General features: G+C 43.9%; 1 protein-coding gene across 3 annotated transcripts, besides 4 other annotated features; it reads right to left on the reverse strand.

Moving 5' to 3' along the window:
- Window positions 5,881-6,381: an enhancer, noted in NCBI's record as "H3K4me1 hESC enhancer chr12:49578576-49579076 (GRCh37/hg19 assembly coordinates)". NCBI's record gives its function as "activates a minimal SCP1, AML or CMV promoter by ChIP-STARR-seq in primed H9 embryonic stem cells {active_cell/tissue: H9 hESC(primed)}" and the evidence as "EXISTENCE:reporter gene assay evidence [ECO:0000049][PMID:30033119]".
- TUBA1A (tubulin alpha 1a) lies at window positions 5,883-10,168 on the reverse strand. 3 transcript variants are annotated; one of them, NM_006009.4, is made up of 4 exons: window positions 10,065-10,168; window positions 7,699-7,921; window positions 7,398-7,546; window positions 5,883-7,078 (listed from the first exon to the last, which is right to left on the reverse strand). In NM_006009.4, exons 1-4 carry the CDS (start codon window positions 10,065-10,067, stop codon window positions 6,098-6,100), a joined length of 1,356 nt encoding a protein of 451 aa, NP_006000.2. In that variant the 5' UTR covers window positions 10,068-10,168; the 3' UTR covers window positions 5,883-6,097. The 3 variants fall into 3 exon arrangements, with proteins under 3 accessions (NP_006000.2, NP_001257329.1, NP_001257328.1); NM_001270400.2 differs by having other exon boundaries at window positions 9,977-10,168; NM_001270399.2 differs by having other exon boundaries at window positions 9,505-10,168.
- Window positions 6,382-6,882: an enhancer, noted in NCBI's record as "H3K4me1 hESC enhancer chr12:49579077-49579577 (GRCh37/hg19 assembly coordinates)". NCBI's record gives its function as "activates a minimal SCP1, AML or CMV promoter by ChIP-STARR-seq in primed H9 embryonic stem cells {active_cell/tissue: H9 hESC(primed)}" and the evidence as "EXISTENCE:reporter gene assay evidence [ECO:0000049][PMID:30033119]".
- Window positions 9,847-10,438: an enhancer, noted in NCBI's record as "H3K27ac hESC enhancer chr12:49582542-49583133 (GRCh37/hg19 assembly coordinates)". NCBI's record gives its function as "activates a minimal SCP1, AML or CMV promoter by ChIP-STARR-seq in naive H9 embryonic stem cells {active_cell/tissue: H9 hESC(naive)}" and the evidence as "EXISTENCE:reporter gene assay evidence [ECO:0000049][PMID:30033119]".
- Window positions 9,937-10,056: an enhancer, noted in NCBI's record as "active region_6309". NCBI's record gives its function as "activates an Ori minimal core promoter by ATAC-STARR-seq in GM12878 lymphoblastoid cells {active_cell/tissue: GM12878}" and the evidence as "EXISTENCE:reporter gene assay evidence [ECO:0000049][PMID:35858748]".

Genomic DNA, 21,867 nt, shown 5'->3' on the forward strand with positions numbered 1-21,867 from the left:
AGAGACAGGCTCTCACCATGTTGTCCAGGATGGTCTCGATCTCTTGACCTCGTGATCTGCCCTCCTTGGCCTCCCGAAGTTCTGGGATTACAGGCATGAACCGCTGCACCCAGCCTAATTTTTTTTTTTAATAGAGATGGGGTCTTCCTATGTTGCCCAGGCTGGTCTCGAACTCCTAGCCTCAAGCATTCCACCCACCTCAGCCTCCCAAAGTGCTGGGATTACAGGCGTGAGCCACCATGCCCAGCCCCAAGTTTTTTATATTAGACATGCAATGATCATTCAATATTAGGAAATCTTTTAAAATAACTCATTATAGTATGTTGAGGGGGAAAAGTCATATGTTAATCTCCAAATATTGCTGAAAAGACATTCCATAAAATTCAACATCTATTCTGATTAAAAATTTTAATAGTATAGAAATAATGTAAATATTCTCATGTTGAGATACTTTCCATATATTGAGAAAAAAATTTATTTATATATTTATTTAGAGACAAGGTCTTGCTCTGTTGCCCAGGCTGGAGTGCAGTGGTGCAATCATGGCTCACTGCAGCCTCAACCTCCCCGGCTCAAGCGATCCTCCCACTTCAACCTCCCGAAGTGATGGGATTGTAGGCTCACACCTGTAATCCCATGCCTGGCCCAGAAAAAACTTATAAAACATGTGTCTCAAGGCCAAAAACTACGTTCCAATTAAAGATATAATAAGGGATAGGATGAGCACCATAGCCAGCATTATTTGTTGTTTTATTTTTAAATATGAAGGAAATAATGTACACATGAGAAATAAAACTTATAATGGTCTCAGGATAAAATAACTTTTTGCAGTTAATTTTTTTTACATTTTAGTTATTCCACCATTCTTTTTTTTTTTTTTCTTGAGATGGAGGCTCGCTCTGTCACCCAGGCTGGATTGCAGTGGCGCGACCTCGGCTCACTGCAACCTCTGCCTCCCAGGTTCCAGCGATTCTCCTGCCTCAGCCTCCAGAGTAGCTGGGATTACAGGCACATGCCACCATGCCCGGCTAATTTTTGTATTTCTTTTTTCTTTTTTGAGACAGAGTTTCACTCTTGTTGCCCAGGCTGGAGTGCAGTAGTGTGATCTCGGCTCACTGCAACTTCTGCCTCCCAGGTTCAAGCTATTCTCCTGCTTCAGCCTCCCAAGTAGTTGGGATTATAGGCGCCCACCACCATGCCTGACTAATTTTTTCTGTATTTTTAGTAGAGATGGAGTTTCACCATACTGGCGAGGCTGGTCTCGAACTCCTGACCTCAGGTCATCCACCCGAATGCTGGGATTGCAGGCGTGAGCTACCATGCCCAAACAATTTCAGTATTCTTATATCCTCATGGATTAAATGGTGGGATAAAAGTGTTTTAACATTGGCCGGTCATGGTGCCTCACACCTATAATCCTAGCACTTTGGGAGGCTAAGACGGGCAAATCGCTTGAGCCCAGGAGTTTGAGAACAGCCTGGGAAACGTGGTGAGACCCTGTCTCTACCAGAAACAACAACAACCACAACAACAAATTAGCTGGGAGTGGTAGCGTGATCCTGTAGTCCCAGCTACTTGGGAGGATGAAATGGGAAGATCACCTGAGCCTGGGAAGTCTGCAGTGAACTGAGAGAGCACCACTGCACTCTAGCCTAAGCAACGGAATGAGACCCTGTCTCAAAAAAATATATAAAAATAAAGTGTTTTGGCTGGGCATGGTAGCTCATGTCTATAATCCCAGCACTTTGGGAGGCCGAGGCAGATGGATCACCTGAGGTCAGGAGTTTGAGACCAGCCTGGCCAACATGGTGAAACCCTGTCTCTACTAAAAATACAAAAATTAGCTGGGCGTGGTGTCAGGCACCTGTAATCCCAGCTACTCGGTAGGCTGAGGCAGGAGAATCACTTGAACCCGAGAGGTGGAGGTTGCAGTGAGCCGAGATTGTGCCATTGTACTCCAGCCTGGGAGACAATTGCAAAACTCCGTCTCAAAAAAAAAAAAAAGTGTTTTAACATTAACAATCCAATTTAAAAATGGGCAGAGAACTTGAAAAGGCATTTCTCCAAAGAAGATATACAACTGGCTAATAAGCAAACGAAAAGATGGTCAACATTACTAATCATTAGGGAAATGCAAATTAAAACTACAACCACTTCATATTAGAATGGCTTCTATTGAAAAAAAAAACAGAAAATAAACCTGGGGAACATAGCAAGACCCTGTCTGTACAAAAAATGCAAAAATTAGCCTGGTATGGTGGCATGCTTGGAGTCCTAACTACTCAGGAGGCTGAGACAGGAGGATCACTTGAGCCCTGGAGTTAGAGGTTACGGTGAGCTATGATCCCACCACTGCACTCCAGCCTGGGTAACAGAGTGAGACTTCATTTCTTAAGAAAACCACACACACGCACATTCAGAAAATATGATCTAGCAATTCTACTTCTGTGTATATACCCAAAAAAACTGAAAACAGGATCTGGAAGAGATCCTTGTATACCCATATTCATAGCAGCATTATTCACAAAAGTCAACAGGTGGAAGCAATTCAAGTGTGCATGGATGAATGAATGAGTAAAAAAAAAAAAAAACTAGTATATACACACAATGGAATATTATTCAGCCTTAAATAGGAAGTAAATTCTGACACATGCTACAACATGGATGAACTTTGAGGACATTGTGCTAAGTGAAATAAGCCAGTTACAAAAAAGACAAATACTGTATGATTCTACTTATGTAAGGTACCTAGAATAGTCAAATTCATAGAGACAAAGGAGAATGCTGTTTGCCAGGGGCTGTGGAGACGGAGGAATGATAAGTTGTTTGACAGGTATAGAGTTTAAGTTTTGTAAGAAGAAAGAATTCTGGGCCGGGCGCAGTGGCTCACGCCTGTAACCCCAGCACTTTGGGAAGCCGAGGCGGGCGGATCACGAGGTCAGGAGATCGAGACCATCCTGGCTAACACGGTGAAACCCTGTCTCTACTAAAAATACAAAAAAATTAGCTGGGCGTGGTGGCGGGCGCCTGTAGTCCCAGCTACTCCGGAGGCTGAGGCAGGAGAATGGCGCGAACCCGGAAGGCGGAGCTTGCGGTGAGCCAAGATCGCGCCACTGCACTCCAGCCTCGGCGACAGAGCTAGACTCCGTCTCAAAAAAAAAAAAAAAAAAAAAAAGATGAAAGAATTCTGGAGATTGGTTGCAACAACAAGTGAATATATTTAGCAATACTGAACTGCATACTTCAAGAATTGTTAAGGTGGCTGGTACACTCGCTCACGCCTGTAATCCAGCATTTTGGGAGGCTGAGGTGGGAGGATCACTTGAGCTCAGGAGATCGAGACCAGCCTGGGCAACATGGCAAAACTCTGTCTCTACAAAAATAAAAAAAGTAGCCAGGCACGGTGGCTCATAGACCTGTGCTCCCGGCTACTCTGGCTGCTGAGGCAGGAGGATTGCTTGAACCTGGGAGGTAGAAGTTGCAATGAGCCAGATCATGCCACTGCAGCCTGGGCAATAGAGTGAGACCCTGTCTCAAAAAAAAAAAAAAAAAAAAAAAAGAAAAAGAAAGAAAGAGAGAATTCCCCTTTCTGCAGTTAAGACACCAACCTGATATTTGGTTAGATTTATTTGTTTCATTTTGTTTTCCATTTTTAAGGATTTTTTTCCACCTTAATTCTCTCTTATATAACATAGTTACATGTTTCTATAGTTAAATGACACAACAAATGCATCAGAAGAAGTGCAGTTAGATCATGTTCTCTCCCCATTGGCAATCATTTTTCTTAGTGCTTGATTTATACTTCCATTGTGTGTTTGTTTCTAAAATTGTGGTAAGATATACATATAACAGGCTGGGCGTCGTGGCTCACACCCGTCATCCTAGCACTTTGGAGGTTGAGGCAGGAGGATCGCTTGAGTCCAGGAGTTGGAGACGAGCCTGGGCAACATAGTGAGACCCTGCCTCTACAAAATACAGAAAAACATTAGCTGGGCATGGTGGCGTGGTCCCAGCTACTTGGGAGGCTGAGGTGGATCGCTTGAGCCTGACGTTGCAGTGAGCTGAGATCGCACCACTGCACTCCAACCTGGGTGACAGAGTGAGACCCTGTCTCAAAAAATATATATATATATATGTGTATATATATATATATAAAATAACATTTCCCATTATAACATAGTTTTTTTTTTTGAGATGGAGTCTTGCTCTGTCACCCAGGCTGGAGTGCAGTGGCGTGATCTTGGCTCATTGCAACCTCCACCACCCGGGTTCAAGCGATTCTGTCACCTCAGCCTCCCGAGCAGCTGGGATTACAGGTGTCCGCCACCACACCCAGCTAATTTTTGTATTTTTTAGTAGAGATGGTGTTTCACCATGTTGGAGAGGCTAGTCTCGAACTCCTGACCTCAAATGATCCTCCCACCTCAGCCTCCCAAAGTGCTGGGACTACAGGCGTGAGGCACCGCACCCAGCCCATCTTGATGTATTTCTTTTTTTGAGATGGAGTTTTGCTCAAGCTGGACTGCAATGGTGCGATCTCGGTTCACTGCAACCTCCACCTCCTGGGTTCAAGTAATTCTCTCTGAGTAGCTGGGATTACAGGCGTGTGTCACCACGCCTGGCTAATTTTTGCATTTTTAGTAGAGACAGGGTTTCACCGTGTTAACCAGGATGGTCTCGATCTCCTGACCTTGTGATCTGCCCGCCCCGGCCTCCCAAAGTGCTGGGATTATAGGCATGAGCCACTGTGCCCCGCCCAGTCTCAGGTATTTCTTCATAGCAGCGTGAAAATGAACTAATATGTATCCCAGAACCAGAAAATGTGAGAGTAGGAAGACAATTTACTGAACTTGGGAATAGACACTTTTGGTCAGTTGGTCTGGAGCAGAGCTCTATTGTTGGACAAATCGTAAGTCCAAAACATTTTTTGTATTGGTGCTAATGCATGCAATTGCACTATTAGGGCTTTATTATTTGAAGTTATTGGCCCACATTAACTTGGAGAATTAACTTTCAGATATCTAATTAACACATTAGAGTGAATAAATGTATCAGGCTTTTCCAACATGACATTCAGCTTAAAATAGGTTTGGAAAGAAGGTAAAGAACTAAGTCTAGCATAGGGCTGCTTGCTTTGAGAGGAGATTTGTTTTGGGAACCCTGGGCAGAAGAGGCATAATGGCACTAGACACATACCAAGGAGCGGAGGGCACATGAAAAACTGATGCATTTGGAATATTCACCATTTTATGTTAGTTACATAAGATTCAGCAGCCAACCAGATTTTGGCTATGTGTTACCAACTTTCAACTCTAAAAAGTACTGGCAGTTTAAATAACTTTATTATAATAATGAGGTAAAAACTTAATAGTATGAGCCGGGCACAGTGGTTCACGCCTGTAATCCCAGCACTTAGGGAGGCCGAGGCAAGCGGATCACTGGAGGTCAGGAGTCTGAGACCAGCCTGACCATCATGGTGAAACCCAGTCTCCACTAAAAATACAAAAATTAGTCAGGTGTGGTGGTGGATGCCTGTAATCCTAGCTACTTGGGAGGCTGAGGCAGGAGAAGCTCTTGAACCCAGGAGGTTGAGGTTGCAGTGAGCCCAGATCGTACCACTGCACTCCAGCCTGGGCAACAGAACAAGACTCCATCTCACAAAAAAAAAAAAAAAAAAAAAAAGTACATGATGCTCTGTAATGGTAATCTTTAGATATACATTTTGTGTTTCATAAATAAAAGTTTTAAATTACTAAGATACTTTAAATACAAACGTCACTTCCTAGGATATGTATAAACCACAGGCAACACTTATTTTTTATTCTCAATGCACTAAATACATGAAAAACTTCAGACACCCAGATAGAAAACACAGGACTGAATTCATTTAAGACAGGGAATACTTTATTCAAAACCCATCACAGAAATGGACAGCTTGGGTCTGTAACAAAGCATTCATGTTTTAGAGCATAGGTCAGTAATTGTATATGAGAGCATACACTGCTACATACAAATTAACTGATCAGACCACAACTTTTCAATGTTTAAAACAGAATAAGCTTCCCTGTAAAAGCAGCACCTTTGTGACGTTTTAACTTTAGTATTCCTCTCCTTCTTCCTCACCCTCTCCTTCAACAGAATCCACACCAACCTCCTCATAATCCTTCTCAAGGGCAGCCATGTCCTCACGGGCCTCTGAAAACTCACCTTCCTCCATCCCCTCCCCAACGTACCAGTGAACAAAGGCACGTTTGGCATACATCAGGTCAAACTTGTGGTCCAGGCGAGCCCAGGCCTCAGCAATGGCTGTGGTGTTGCTCAGCATGCACACAGCTCTCTGTACCTTGGCCAGGTCTCCACCAGGCACCACAGTGGGAGGCTGGTAGTTGATGCCAACCTTGAAGCCAGTGGGGCACCAATCCACAAACTGGATGGTACGCTTGGTCTTGATGGTGGCAATGGCAGCATTGACATCTTTGGGAACCACGTCACCACGGTACAACAGGCAGCAAGCCATGTATTTACCATGGCGAGGGTCACATTTCACCATCTGGTTGGCTGGCTCAAAGCAAGCATTGGTGATCTCTGCTACAGAAAGCTGTTCATGGTAGGCTTTCTCAGCAGAGATGACAGGGGCATATGTGGCCAGAGGGAAGTGGATGCGGGGATAGGGCACCAGGTTGGTCTGGAATTCTGTCAGGTCAACATTCAGGGCTCCATCAAATCTCAGGGAAGCAGTGATGGAGGACACAATTTGACCTATTAACCTATTCAGGTTAGTATAGGTTGGACGCTCAATATCGAGGTTTCTACGACAGATGTCATAGATGGCCTCATTGTCTACCATGAAGGCACAATCAGAGTGCTCCAGGGTGGTGTGGGTGGTGAGGATGGAGTTGTAGGGCTCAACTACAGCTGTGGAAACCTGGGGCGCCGGGTAAATAGAGAACTCCAGCTTGGACTTCTTGCCATAATCAACTGAGAGACGTTCCATGAGCAGCGAGGTGAACCCAGAACCAGTTCCCCCACCAAAGCTGTGGAAAACCAAGAAGCCCTGGAGACCCGTGCACTGGTCGGCCTATAACAAAAGAGAGGAACAGAGGAAAGGTTAAGTTTTTATTCTTTGTAGTACAATCATAGTAAATATATTTTCACTTTTCATACATCTTCCAGGACTTAGATCTTATTTTGACAAATGCTTTTTAAAAAATTCTCATTAACATTTACAAAATGACATCAAATAGTTCATTTTAACTGAATTTTAAAAACCCCAAAAGAATGACTCATTCCACTCTTTATTAAAATAACAGTTCAATTCTGTGTTTGAAAAAAAAAGCATTATTTCAAATGTGTTCTTTAGGCTCATTAATTTACTTTATTCTTGAAAAGAAACATACCAGCTTGCGAATTCGGTCCAACACGAGGTCAATGATCTCCTTGCCAATGGTGTAGTGCCCTCGGGCATAGTTATTGGCAGCATCTTCTTTGCCTGTGATAAGTTGCTCAGGGTGGAAGAGCTGGCGGTAGGTGCCAGTGCGAACTTCATCTGGAGAACATGATGGGGGAGGAGCAGGGGGGAGGAGGAGGAGGGACGAGGAGCGGGGAGGGAGAGTGGGTGAGTGACCAGCGGAGCCCCCCAGGACAGACCTCCTGTCCCAGCACCCTGGGATCTCACTTGGGTTACTGAGGTCAACTCACCAATGACTGTGGGTTCCAAGTCTACAAACACTGCCCGGGGCACATGCTTGCCAGCCCCCGTCTCACTGAAGAAGGTGTTGAAGGAATCATCTCCTCCCCCAATGGTCTTGTCACTTGGCATCTGGCCATCGGGCTGGATGCCGTGTTCCAGGCAGTAGAGCTCCCAGCAGGCATTGCCAATCTGGACACCAGCCTGGCCAACGTGGATGGAGATGCACTCACGCTGTGGGGAGGAAAAGTGAAAAAATCGTAAAATTAAGGTGTATTAGCATTTCAAACTTATAGGAAATTTCAAAAATATTTCTAATAATATACAGATATTTTTCTAAATTATTTGAGGTCATATCCCCAGCACGATACAAAGATTAAGGAAAATCACCTGCTACAAATGCTGCATATGGGTGTGGTCTGAATAATGATGTCGCCTTGGCCCTGTTCAGCACGTGGTACCAGCCCATTGTGCCTACTACCATGCTTGAATAGAAGATTTTTCATATTTAAAAAGTATTCAGTATTCAAAGCACAAATTTTGTAAAATGAAGTAAATCCAATTATGACTTAATTGGGATTAATTTTACTGCTTTCTTCCCTTTTAAATAAAGATGAAAGTTTCCTCTGAATAGGACTTGATATTATAATCCGGACATCTGTACTGCAGCTGAGGCAAGAAGCCACACCCTTCTGCAGTCTGTCTGCAGAATCCATCAATACTAGGAGTTTAGACAAGGTCTGCCTTCTGCATTGCTGCATTGCTGTATTTGCTGTGCCTGGTGCTAGCCTGTACTGTCTGCTACATTATTTAACAGAGCAAGCTCTATTTCCAGCAGCTGCCTACATGATCTCATTGTGCTGTTTTGCCAGTTTTCCTCCTCTGACCCCGCCCGGGACCATGTGCCTGAATTGAAATGAATTAATTAAGATGCACTGGAACAAAAGACAACGGGATGCGGAGTATAATTCTTCTTTGTCTGTAGCAATTTCATTACTTTTTTTTTTAAAAAAAAAGGTTTTTCCAGATCTTCTCCACTGTAAAAGCTGAAAAATTATCCGTATCTTAACACACACACACACAAAAGTTCCTAAGTTAGAAACAAGCATCACATGAAAAGGTACCAAAGAATAAAAGCCCAGTGGAAGGATAATGAAATATTTATTTAAAACAACAAAATAGTATTTTCATCCTGAGATTCTCTACCCATCACATAATATTCATATTCTTTGCATCCAATAGAGGTTTTCTTCTCTGTGGTCTTTAGGGCTACCACTTTCATTGTCTATTCGCTGATGTGGTGGGGGCGGGGCGGGGGGGCGGCGGGGAAGGGCGTTTCCCTGGGTCCTGACCATCAGGGTACCCTGGGGCTCACAAAGTGGGCTTTCTCCCTCGCTGAACGTGCAGTCCAGACAGACAGACAGACACACACACACACACACACACACTTCAGTCGGTCAGGGCAGGGCGTCCCACAGACACACACACACACACACACACACACACACACACACTTCAGTCGGTCAGGGCAGGGCGTCCCCAGACCAGACATTAAAGAGCTTGTGAAGTGAATTATGATTTTGCTCAAGAAAAAAAAAAGTCATCTAACTTATAATAGTGAAGAAAACCCTTTTGGAGCCTACAGTTCCGCAATGATGAAAGGTTTTTTTGTTTTTTTTTCAGTCAGCTCCTGACAGAAGAGGTTCAGTGAGGGCGAACCCCGCCCAGTGGCTCCAACGCCATAGAAGCCAGAAACAAACAACCCCGCCCCTGCGCCGCCCTGACACCCGCTGCCGGGGGCTCCGGCAGAAACTCACCATGTTTTCCCGGGAATGTGTGGGTATCTTTCCAAAACGCCAAAGACCGCGGAGGGTCTTCCCACGCTAACCCTAGGCTGCGCTTTGTTCCCGTTCCCCCTCCCACGTCCCCCAGCTCGCCCAACGCCCCCGCTCTTTTTGGGTGCCTCCTCCTCTCCCGGTCCCCAGAGAACAACGCGAGACAGAAAGTGGCCCCTCAGCATCAGCGAAACCGTGCGCACAGACACGGGGCCCAGCCGGGACGCCCCAGACCCCTCGGTCGCGGCAGACGGGCTGCCCGCGGCCCCCGAAAGTCTCTCGGATAACACAGGCGCCTAGGCGCCGCCTTTGTTCCTCCCCAGCGCTCTGCTGCGCCCTGGGCGCAGTACTGGCCCGGTTCCTGCACCCGCACTGCGGCGGCGGCGGGGCTTGAGGATTTGGGGCTAAGCTAAACCTCACAAAACATACCACCACCCTCGCCCAGAGAGCTTACGAAAGAAAAGAGCTTAAAGGTTTTCCAAGTAGAGCCTGGGGGCGCTGACTCCACCCAACGGCCACAAAGAGCCGAAGCCGATTCTCACCATGGTTGCTGCTTCGCGACTGCCGAGCTGATGGCGGAGACGAAGAGGAGAGGTTGTTGCTTCTTACAGCGCGACTCTTAGGCGGTCGATGTAAGAGAACCTGCGGCACATAGGCGGATGCGGCTCCCTATATACAACTCGGTCACCATGGGGATGGGCCGGGGCCTTTTCCTGTTGGTCCAGACCCCCAATCTGCCCAGAGAAGCCATGACAGGAGACTGGTGATTGGTGCAAGCGACGTGGGATGAGGTAATCTCTCCCCCACCCCTTTTTCTCTAGCATCCGTAGACTGTTTGCATCCTTTAGACAAAGAGACCGTGCAGAAGCAGTCGGCCGAGCATCCATTATGGGGCGGGGTTGGGGAGGGGCGGAAGGAGAAGAAAGGGGACTGGGGTTAGAAGACTTTCTGTTGCTTAAACCTCAAACTGCAGTTAAAATTATCTATGTGAGGTTTTTTCCCCCTACCCTTAATAACAATTTATGTTTAGATTAAATATTTAAAGGAAAATGACTGCCAGCCCCTCCCTCGTAGTATATTAAACTCGACTACATTTTGTTAGGGTTCAACATCTCTAATTGCTTTAAACGTAAAGTGGGAGGGAAAATCGGCATGATGCTCGAAATGGCCTGGGTATATGTGATTTTTTTAATTTAAAAAAAGATTTAGCCATACGGTCATTCCAAATGGTTTCTCAGGTTCAACTAACTTATTTTCAGAGCTTCTTCTGCAGGCACACGCACACCCGAATAGCTAAACAAAACTGGAAGATGGAAAGAATAACCATATTAAATAAAGAAGCGAACAAATAGTTCTAACATGGCAATAATCAAGAGCAAGTGAACGTAGAGTAGTTATAATGGTTTACTAGAGGTATTCTTTTATGAGAAGTCTATGTAACACATTTTGTATGGTACATTGTCCTTTGGAATGAATCATCTTTCCTGATAGAAAATTGGGAAAATACAAGGAGAAATAATTGAGCTCAGAAGTTAGTACTACATGTGTGCAGTTACATATCTGAATTGGACTTTTGTCTGGAAAGTAACAAGCAAAATAATAGTAATAACCAATACACCAAATTAAAAAGAAGAAGAGAATAATATAATGTAAAAAGAATTTTGCAATGTCGCCTCCATCCACAGACAACTGTGAAACATCAGCTCAATAAACGCATTTCCTTTTTATGTAGTTCTTATGTCAATTTGGTAAATATCCTCCTGCGAGTGGGCTTCTAACTGTGGGAATTTTAGCCGGCCTCACACCCTTGCTGTTCAGCTAGAGACTCTGGTGGTTGCTCAGTTGTCCCTTGGGACAAAAAGGCTTTGCTTTCACCCCTAGGAAATAAATTGGAGTAAAATTATCTTGATATTTAGGAAGCCTCCATTCTCAGCAACGATCCGGAGTAAGTCACTGGACTTCGTACCACTGGATGTTGGTGATGAAATTTCAGAGGTAAATAAGTTTGGCCACTAAAGTTGAAAATTTATTTTTTACAAATAATTTTTCCTTTTGGTTTTCAGAGACAAATTTTCAGGGTCTGCAGCACTACTCACACAGTGCTCTGCGGAACCCATTCATTCCTGCTAGGCTGGCAGGCTAAGAAGGGCGTGGGAGGGAGGGACTTGAGAATACAGCTGCTGCAGGTTGTGGTGTGACAATGGCGACCACAGATTTTTCTAGCCTGCCATCCACAGTTCTGCTTTACTTGATCAATTTTGCTTCAGTAATATTCTCTGGAAAAAAAATAATATCCAAAATGCAAAAATCATTTTATCTACTTATTGTATATTTCCTAGGAAAAAATAATCCTCAACATCATCTTATCTCCACTTCTTTAGCAAAAAAAAAAAAAAAGTATATTTCAGAAGAGACAGGAGGATTAGGTATTTGAATGCTTCTTTCAGAACCCAGAAATATATTTAACAAAAATAAGAATTAAATGGCATAAGGAAGCATAAGGATTAATAAGTAGCTCATTCAAAATACTTTCACAATTTTAATAATAAAATATATCAGACACTATTGGACTATAGTAACATGTACAAGTCTTTTTGGAATGAGAAGCAGAGTTTGAACATTATTTTCTTTACAATATAAAAAGATTAATTAAGAAATATGTCACTTATCCAATAGTCTCAGTTCTTTATGCAATTTCCAAAGGATTAAATAAAAGAGAGGAGGGTTCACGTGGTTGATTCTTTGAAATTCTATCTCAGAGCCATTCTGTTCCTTATGTAAATGAGGGTTATTCCCTCCGCTTGGGCATATGTAACAAGATCTAGGTCAGAAATAGACTATTTAGGCACTGATAATCTCAAATATATAAACAAGAGATCGGGGAAATAACTAATCTATAATTTTTGTTCTTTATTATCTGATTTAATAGCACTCAAACTGTGGAAAGGAAAACAATACTTTTTTTACTAGTTCATCTCTTATTTTTATTGCCATTTAAAAAAATTTGACATCAATATACATGTACAAGTATTCTGCTAATGGATTCATTCTTGTACACAGTAAGATTAGCATAAAACATTCTTCTTTCATAATATTTGTAGAATTTTAATCATTTATTCACATGTCTACATTTCTCCTCCATTAAAATGTAAGTCCTAATTCCTGTCAAAGTGCCTAACTACAGTAGACGTTATACACTACATGTTTGCTCAATTAAATGAACAGCTCTCTGTGCAGTTTCTTTCTCTTTCTTTCTTTCTTCCTTTCTTTCTTTCTTTCTCTCTCTCTCTCTCTCTCTCTCTCTTTCTTTCTTTCTCTCTTTCTTTCTTTCTTTTTTTTGAGATGGAGTCTCATTCGGTTGCCCAGGCTGGAGTCAGTGACATGATCTCAGCTCACTGCAACCTCCGCTTCCCGAGTTCAAGCGATTCTCCTGCCTCAACCTCCCGAGTAGCTGGGATTACAGGTGCTGGCCACCACACCCAGCTAATTTTTGTGTTTTTAGTAGAGACGGGGTTTCGCCATGTTGGCCAGTCTGGTCTTGAACTCCTGACTTCAGGTGATCCACCTGCCTCAGCCTCCTAAAGTGCTAGGATTACAGGCATGATCCATGGTGCCCGGCCTGTGCAGATTTTCATTACCTATTATCATGCTTAGTAATGTAAAGATATTGGCCAGAGCGGTGGCTTACTCCTGTAATCCCAGCACTTTGGGAGGCCAAGGTGGTGGGCCACCTGAGGTTAGGAGTTTGAGACCAGCCTGGACAACATGGTGAAACCCTGTCTCTATCAAAAACATAAAAATTAGCCCTTGCGCAGTGGCTCATGCCTTTAATCCCAGCACTTTGGGAGGCCGAGGCAGGGGATTATTTGAGTTCAGGAGTTCGAGACCAGCCTAGCCAACATGGCGAAACCCCACCTCTACTAAAACAAAACAAAACACCAGCCAGGTGTGGTGGCTTGTGCCTGTAATCCCAGTTATTGTAGAGATTGAGGCATAAGAATCGCTTGAACTCGGGAGGCGGAGGTTGTAGTGAGCTGAGATCATACCACTGCACTCCAGCCTGAGCAACAGAGTGAGACTCTGTCTTAAAAAAAGATATTTAATAAAGTATTTTACCATTTATAATCAGCAAGCATTTACTGAGTAAGCCCAAGACCATCCTAGGTGGTGAAGAATTCAGAGGTAATAGCATGGTCTCTTTTCTCTAGAATCTTCCAATTTATTGGAATAATTGAGACACGTACATTCCTATAGGTTTGAGAATGACATGTACGTGTGTATGTTTGGAGAGGGGCCATGCAATTGATCCCAATAGAGGGGATCTATTTCATGACTCCGTGTATCATAACTTACGAGGGAAACGAGTTGTTGAACACTTTTTTTTTTACATCTTCACCTCCTATTCATCCTTAAATCCATTTCAAACTGGATTCTGCTCCTATCACTCCTTTAAAGTGCCTCCTTGTTTGTTTTTTGTTTGTTTGTTTGTTTTTGAGATGGAGTCTCACTCCAGTTCAGTGGCGCGATATCGGCTTACTGCAGCCTCTGCCTCCTGGGTTCAAATGATTCTCCTGCCTCAGCCTCTCAAGTAGCGGGGATTATAGGTGCCCACGACCACGCCCAGCTAATTTTTGTATTTTTAGTAGAGACGGGGTTACCTCATGTTGGCCAGGCTGGTCTCAAACTCCTGGCCTCAAGTGGCCAACTTGCCTCAGCCTCCCAAAGTGCTGAGATTACAGACGTGAGCCACCGTGCCTGGTCTATCTTAGTTGTTAAATCCACTGGACACATTTTAGCTCTTGTTGACCTGTGACAGGCTTTGTCACAGTTGACTATTATCTCCTTCAAGACACTTTCTTCCCTTAGCCTCAAAAACTCTACATTTTCTGGGTTTCTCTCCTACATTTTTGTTTCTGGTCAGTCTCTGCTGGTTCCTCCTCCTTTCCCTAATCTTCAAACGTTGGAATTCCTCAAGCTTCAGTCCTAGACCTTTTCCTCATTTTATTCTATGTGGTCTTAGACCTTTTTGGTGGATGGCAAGTGCATTCATTCCCAAGGCTTCAAATCCTTCCTATATGCCGATGACTTCTTTTATTTATTTATTTACTTTTAATTTTTTTTTAGAGACTGAGTCTCGCTATATTGCCTAGGCTGGTCTCAAACTCCTGGCCTCACGTGATCCTCCTACCTCAGCCTCCCCAGTAGCTGGGATTACAGGTGGGAGCCACTGTGCCTGGTGCTGATGAATTCCTTTTTCTTTTTTTTTTTTCCAAGACGGAGTTTCGCTCTTGTCACCCAGGCTGGAGTGCAATAGCATGATCTTGGCTCACTGCCACCTCTGCCTCCCAGGTTCAAGCGATTCTCCTGCCTCAACCTCTTGAGTAGCTGGGATTACAGGCGCCACCACCACACCCAGCTAATTTTTCTATTTTTAGTAGAGACTGGGCTTCATCATGCTGGCCAGGCTGGTCTTGAACTCCTGACTTCAGGTGATCCACCTGCCTCTGCCTCCCAAAGTGCTGGGATTGCAGGCGTAAGCCACCTCGCCCAGCCTGATGACTTCCTGATACCTCTTCTTAGCCTCAGATCATATAGTCAATTTCCAGTCTCTGGCTTGTTTTCTCAGGTATCTCAAATTGAACTAATGTTTGTTTGTTTGTTTGTTTGTTTGTTTGTTTTGAGACAGAGTCTTGCTCTGTCACCCAGGCTGGAGTGCAATGGCACTATCTTGGCTCACTGCAACCTCTGCCTCCTGGGTTCAAGCAATTCTCCTGCCTCAGCCTCCCGAGTAGCTGGGATTACAGGCACACGCTGCCATGCCTGGCTAATTTTTTGTATTTTAGTAGAGATGGGGTTTCACCGTGTTGCCCAGGCTGGTCTCGAACTGCTGAACTCAGGCAATCCACTCACCTCGGCCTCCCAAAGTGTTAGGATTACAGGCATGAGCCTGTATAATGTTTATAATGGAAGCTTTTATTAGAAATGGTGGCTCTTGAATAGAATGGGAGTGGAATAAGTACTCTAAATAGGAAAAATAACATTAGCAAAGATATAGTATAATGATGAACTGTTGCCTGGATAAGGGAGGACAAAGAAATTGGCTTGATTAGGGCATTCAAGGGTGGGTAAGCGATGTGTTATATGGGGAGGGTGGAGCTAGTTAACAAAATGGTTTGAACTTCAGTCTGAAGGAGTTTGGGATTGAGTCCATACACAGTGTGAAGCCTTTATACATATATATGTATATATATATAGAGAGAGAGAGAGACAGAAAGAGAGAGAGAGAGAGACGGAGTTTTACTCTTGTTGCCCAGGCTCGAGTGCAATGGCATGATCTCGGCTCACCACAACCCCCGCTTCCCAGGTTCAAGCAATTCTCCTGCCTCAGCCTCCCAAGTAGCTTAGATTACAAGCATGCGTCACCATGCCTGGCTAATTTTGTATTTTTAGTTACTCCATATTGGTCAGGCTGGTCTCGAACTCCCAATCTCAGGTGATCCACCCGCCTTGGCCTCCCAAAGTCCTGGGATGACAGGTGTGAGCCACTGCGCTTGGCTGAAGCCTTTATGTTCTTATCCAAAAGAGTGACAGGCCAAGGGTAGTGGCTCATACCTGTAATCCTGGCACTTTGGGAGGCCGAGGCATGAGGCTTGCTTGAGCCCAGGAGTTCGAGACCAGTTTGGGTGACATAGAGAGACCCCATTTCTACAGAAAATTTTAAAAATTAGCTGGGTAAGGTGGCATGCACCTGTGGTTCTAGCTACTTGGGAAGCTGAGGCAGGAAGAATGCTTGACCCTGGGAGGTCAAGGCTGCAATGAGCTGTGATGATTGTGCCACTGCATTCCAGCTTGGGCAACAGAGAGAGAGGCCCTGTCACCAAGTAAAAAAAAAAAAAAAAAAGCGGGACAAATTTATGAAGGGAACAGCATTTTCATAAAATTAATGTGACTGGTGTATGGAGTAGGAAAAGAGACTGGAGAATGAGACCAATACAGTTATTGCAATAATCTAAGTAGAAGGTCTCAGGCCATCATAATGGATAGAAAGGGATAAGAGAAGACATCATTCAAAGGAAGAATCCTGGTGGTGATTGGTTGGACATGTGGTAAAAAGGAAGGAGTCAAAATCAACCCTTAAAGTGTTTTTTTTCTTTTCTCTTTTTTCAGAGGCAGGGCCCAGGCTGGAGAGCAGTGGCATAATCATAGTTCACAGCAGGCTCAAACTTCTGGGTTCAAGTGATCCTCCTACCTCAGCCTCCCGTGTAGCTGGGACTACAGGCCCACACCACTACACTTGGCTTTTTCCGTAGAGAGGATCTCACTTTTCTTGCTCAGGCTGGTCTCAAACTCCTGGCCTCAAGCAGTCCTTCTACCCCAGCCTCTGAAAGTGCTGGGACCACAGGCGTGAGACACTGTGCCCTGCCTAATCCTTAAAGTTTTTAGCCTGGAAGACTCAGAGAATGAAATGGTAGTGGTGCTGTTAACAGAATAGGGAAGTTGAGAAGAGATGCAAGTCTAAGCAGAAAATGCATTTGTGTGTGTGCTGGGGGAGGGTGTTGAGGGCAGGAAAGTTCAGTCGATGTGACCTAACAAGCTGAATGTTACACCATTTAGGTGATAGAGGAATTGAGGGCAGAAGTCTTGGAGGCTGCTGGGAATCTGAGATTGGGACTGCTTAGGGAAAAGTCAGGACTGGAGGGGATGGAGATGTGTATTTGGTGTCTAATGACAACAGCATGGTTATAAAGCTGGTGGTATAGTATGAGAATAGAATTCTCCAACTGTAACCCATAATTTCAAGTCATGTCACTGAATGGGAACAAGATAGATTTGGGGACTTTTAGGGATATTTAGCAGGTTGATTTACCAGGTTTGGGAACAGATTTAATAAATTAAAAACAGGGTCGTGCATGGTGGCTCACGCCTGTAATCCCAGCACTTTGGAGGCCAAGGTGGGTGGACCACCTGAGGTCAGGGGTTTGAGATCAGCCTGGTCAACATGGTGAAACCCTGTCTCTACTAAAAATACAAAAATTAGCTGGGCGTGGTGGCAAGTGCCTGTAACCCCAGCTACTCAAGAGGCTGAGGCAGGAGAATTGCTTGAACCTGAGAGGTGGAGGTTGCAGTGAGCCAAGATCACGCTACTGCACTCCAGCCTGGGTGACAGAGCAAGACTCTGTCTCAAAAAAAAAAAAAATAATTAAAAACAGTAGGCTGGGTGAGGTGGCTCATGCCTGTAATCTCAGCACTTTGGGAGGCTGAGACAAAAGGATTGCTTGAGCCCAGGAGTTCGAGACCAACCTGGGCAGCATATCAAGACCCCCATCTCTACCAAAAAGAAAAAAATTAACTGGGCGTGGTGGTGCACGCCTATTGTCCCAGCTACTTAGGAGGCTGAGGTGGGAGGATCGCTTGAGCCCAGGAGGTCTAGGTTGCCATGAGCTGTGATGGTGCCACTGCACTCCAGCCTGGGTGACAGAGTGAGACTCTGTCTCAAAAATAATAATAATAGGCCAGGCGCTGTGGCTCATGCCTGTAATCCCAGCACTTTGGGAGGCCGAGGCGGGTGGATTGCCTGAGCTCAGGAATTCAAGACCAACCTGGACAACAAGGTGAAATCCCATCTCTACTAAAATATAAAAAACTAGCCGGGCGTGGCTGCGTGCGCCTGTAGTCCCAGCTACTCAGGAGGCTGAGGCAGGAGAATTACTTGAACCCAGGAGGTGGAGGTTGTAGTGAGCCAAGATCGCACCACTGCACTCCAGCATGGGTGACAGAGCGAGACTCCATCTCCAAGAAAATATAATAATAATAACAAATAATAATAAAAATAAAAACAATAAAGAACTGCAAGAGAAAGAAGTGTCAGAAAAGGAAACAAAGAAGGAGGCGGTAAAGCAGAACACGTTGATGTCACAGAAACAAAGGAAGGAGCGAGTGTCAAGAGAGTGCTGAGTAATACTAAATACTGCAGAGGAGTCTTTAAATAAGGACAGAAGAGTGCTCATTGGATTTAGTAACAAGGAAATCAGTATAAAGCAAGGGCTTGGCATAAAAGACAAAAAAAAATGTTTCCTGCCCCAGAGGAGCTCAAGGTGCAAGGAAGGAAACTGTTATTACAGTGTGACGAGTGCTGTGAGATAGAGTTCAGCCCAGGAGCTGCCACACGGACACAGAGATGAAGCTGGTGGTCCAGTTTTCCAGGTGCTGTTGGTTCACAGTTCCTAACCTCATTTCCCTGTGGTGTCACCTGTCTCATGCCACATCACTGCCTCTGCATCTTTTGTGAAATGAGCATACCTGTCCATGCCAAACTGCCTTCTTGGTGCGTGGTGGAGTGTAAATGGGTATATTCAAGCAACCAGGTTTTCCTTAAATTCTCTCGCTAAACACGCTTCAAACTCTAAATGTAAACAAGGGAATGGACATGATTATAATGATACATGGAATTTAAGTTTATCTTCATTTTAGGGTTTAGTATGGATCAATATATTGAATGAATTGGCTGTCACTATGTGTAGCTATCCACACAAAGACTATCCACTGAATTTACCTTGACCAAATTCCAACACTAACCATTTAGGTAAGAATATGGTTCCACATCTAGAATTCAGAATTTTATTTAAAGCTTAACATTCTTTTTCTCAGGATCTGGCCAACAATGCAGTATTACTAAATAATAGTTTTTTTCTGGATAACTATGGTAAGAATTATCTGTGGTCATTCTGGTAACCGAGTTTTATCTATTTGGGGAAGGATTTTTGTGTGTATAGCAGAGATAAACATTAATGGATTTCTATTCCAGAAGTAGGACTTACAAAATAACACAATGAATACCTGAACCCTGTAATATTAAAAATATATCTCTGGCATTGGAATACAATGCTTTGAAGTAACTCATTAATGTTCATTTATTTACTGGAGCAGTCTTTTTTTTTATGTGTCCCAGTCTCACTCTGTTGCCCAGGCTGGAGTGCAGTGGTATGATCACAGCTCACTGCAGCCCTGACTTCCCGGGCTCAAGCCATCCTCATACCTCAGCCTCCGAGTAGGTGGGACTACCTACTCTGTAGTAGGTAGTCCGAGTAGGTGGGACCACCATGCCTAGCTAATTTTTCTATTTTTTGTAGAGACAGGGTTTCTCCATGTTGCCCAGGCTGGCCTCGAACATCTGGGCTCAAGCAATCAGCTGGCCTCAGCCTCCCAAAGTGCTGGGATTTCAAGCATGAGCCACCGCGCCCAGCCTCTGGACCACTCTTTTAAACAAAATATTTAAGTCCTGAGATACACATTTTAATTTGTAATTTTGCTCTGGTACATTGGAGTGGTAATTTAGCCACGCCTACTGATGAAATCTGACATTTGAGGAAAGGGGACAAAACTTGAAGAGGCTCAAAGGCATCCGGAGAAGACAAGAAAGAGAAGGAAACAGAGAAGACAATAGGGAATGTCAGTTTTCACGAAACACAATTTATAATTCGGTTGCATTTTACACATACTCACAAGAATGCACATTGAACCACCTCTGTCCTGCCCCCTTCCTTCTCCAAAGCAGATGGAAATGAGGTGGCCGACTGGGAAGGTTGCCATGGTGCACTGGCTACAGGGATTCAATTGTAATCAAAAGAGGCTCCAGAGTCCCTTCCCCCAACCTTCCAAATGTGGGTTTCTCTCTTTTCTCTCAAATCTCTGTCTTAATTCCATGCTGTAGATAAACCAGAATGAGAATGATTTACTAGTGAACAAAAAACCATTTATTGCCTCCAAAAGTTTACAGATGCATTGATCTTGTCAGATACAAAACACTGAGGAATTAGAACTGGTTCATTTTTAGATACAGCTTGTCACACAAAAGTCAGAATTCACTTTTAAAATGTCTTATACATCACACCTCCATCTTTAAGACTTATATTTCTTACTGATTTTATCCCCAGATAACCTGCACACATCTCAAATTCAATATATCTAAATGGAATTTGTTATTTTTCTCCATCTCTCTCCTTGTATTTTATATTCTCAGTGATCCTGTATTCTTAATATTAGTTCATTGTCACCATCTTTCTGGTCTGCAAAGCTAGATTAAAATAACCTCGGCTGGACACAGTGGCTCATGCCTGTAATCCCAGCACTTTGGGAGGCCGAGGTGGGTTGATCACTTGAGGTCAGGTATTCAAGACCAGCCTGGCCAACATGGTGAAACCTCATTTCTACAAAAAATACAAAAATTAGCCCAGTGTGGTGGCTCACACCTATGATCCCTGCTATTAGGGAGGCTGAGGCATGAGAATCACTTCAACCTGGAAGGCGGAGGTTGCTATGACCTGACATCGCACCACTGCACTCCAGCCTGGGTGACAGAGTAAGACTCTGTCTCAAAAAAAAAAAAAAAAAAAAAAAAAAATATATATATATATATATATATATATATATATAAAATAAATAATAATAATAACCTCATATAACACTGTGTTCCAGGCACTATTCTAAGTACTTTAATTCATTTAAGTTAATCCTAACTGATCACTAAATTCTGTCAATTACAATTCAAAATTATCTTAATAAACATTTGCAGAATGAACAATTGAGGAGGCTTCTGAAGCTTTACCAGTCTTTTTTTTTTGGAGATGGAAGTCTCACTCTGCCGCCCAGGTTGGAGTGCAATGGCATGATCTCAGCTCACTGCAACCTCTGCCTCCCAGGTTCAAGTGGTTCTCCTGCCTCAGCCTTCGGAGTAGCTGGGATTACAGGCGTGCACCACCACACCAAGCTAATTTCTGTATTATTAGTAGAGATGGGGTTTTACCATTTTGGCCAGGCTGGTCCCGAACTCCCAGCCTGAGGTGATCCACCCACCTCAGCCTCCCAAAGTGCTGGGATTACAGGCGTGAGCCACCACGCCCAGCCTTGACCAGTCTTATTAGCCAAAGGGCCTACATCAAGGGGAGGACGTGGCAGAATATTTAGGTTGGGCTTTGAACCTCCCTCTTCAAGTGTTACAGGCATAAATCTAAGACTAAAATAGAAGATACCCCCCTATAACATGTTGGAATGATCATGTACACCAGTGTTTCCTAAATGTGCTGAAGTAATTGGGGTGCTGGTTAAAATATGGATCCCCAGTTCCTCCACCAGAGAGTCTGATTCAGTAGGTCTAATTCAGTAAATAATACTCTCCTAGAATTAATAATTTATCATTTTTGAGCTAAACAATTTTAGTGTGCTTGATGTGGTTCAGCTATTTCTAAATTCTGATATCCGCTCGATAAATTTACTGAAAATTACTTTATTTATGGTTGTTAACCCTAAAGACACAACTCCTAGTGAAGCCTAGCCTCAAAGAGCATT

Source organism: Homo sapiens, chromosome 12 (assembly GCF_000001405.40).
Source record: "Homo sapiens chromosome 12, GRCh38.p14 Primary Assembly".
In the NCBI taxonomy this organism is placed as follows: domain Eukaryota; kingdom Metazoa; phylum Chordata; class Mammalia; order Primates; family Hominidae; genus Homo; species Homo sapiens.

Coding starts and splice junctions, on each gene's coding strand:
- TUBA1A (NM_006009.4), bottom strand. Junction 7,547..7,698: donor CTTGGAACCCACAGTCATTG/GTGAGTTGACCT, acceptor CATGTTCTCCAG/ATGAAGTTCGCACTGGCACC. Junction 7,079..7,397: donor TGGACCGAATTCGCAAGCTG/GTATGTTTCTTT, acceptor CTTTTGTTATAG/GCCGACCAGTGCACGGGTCT.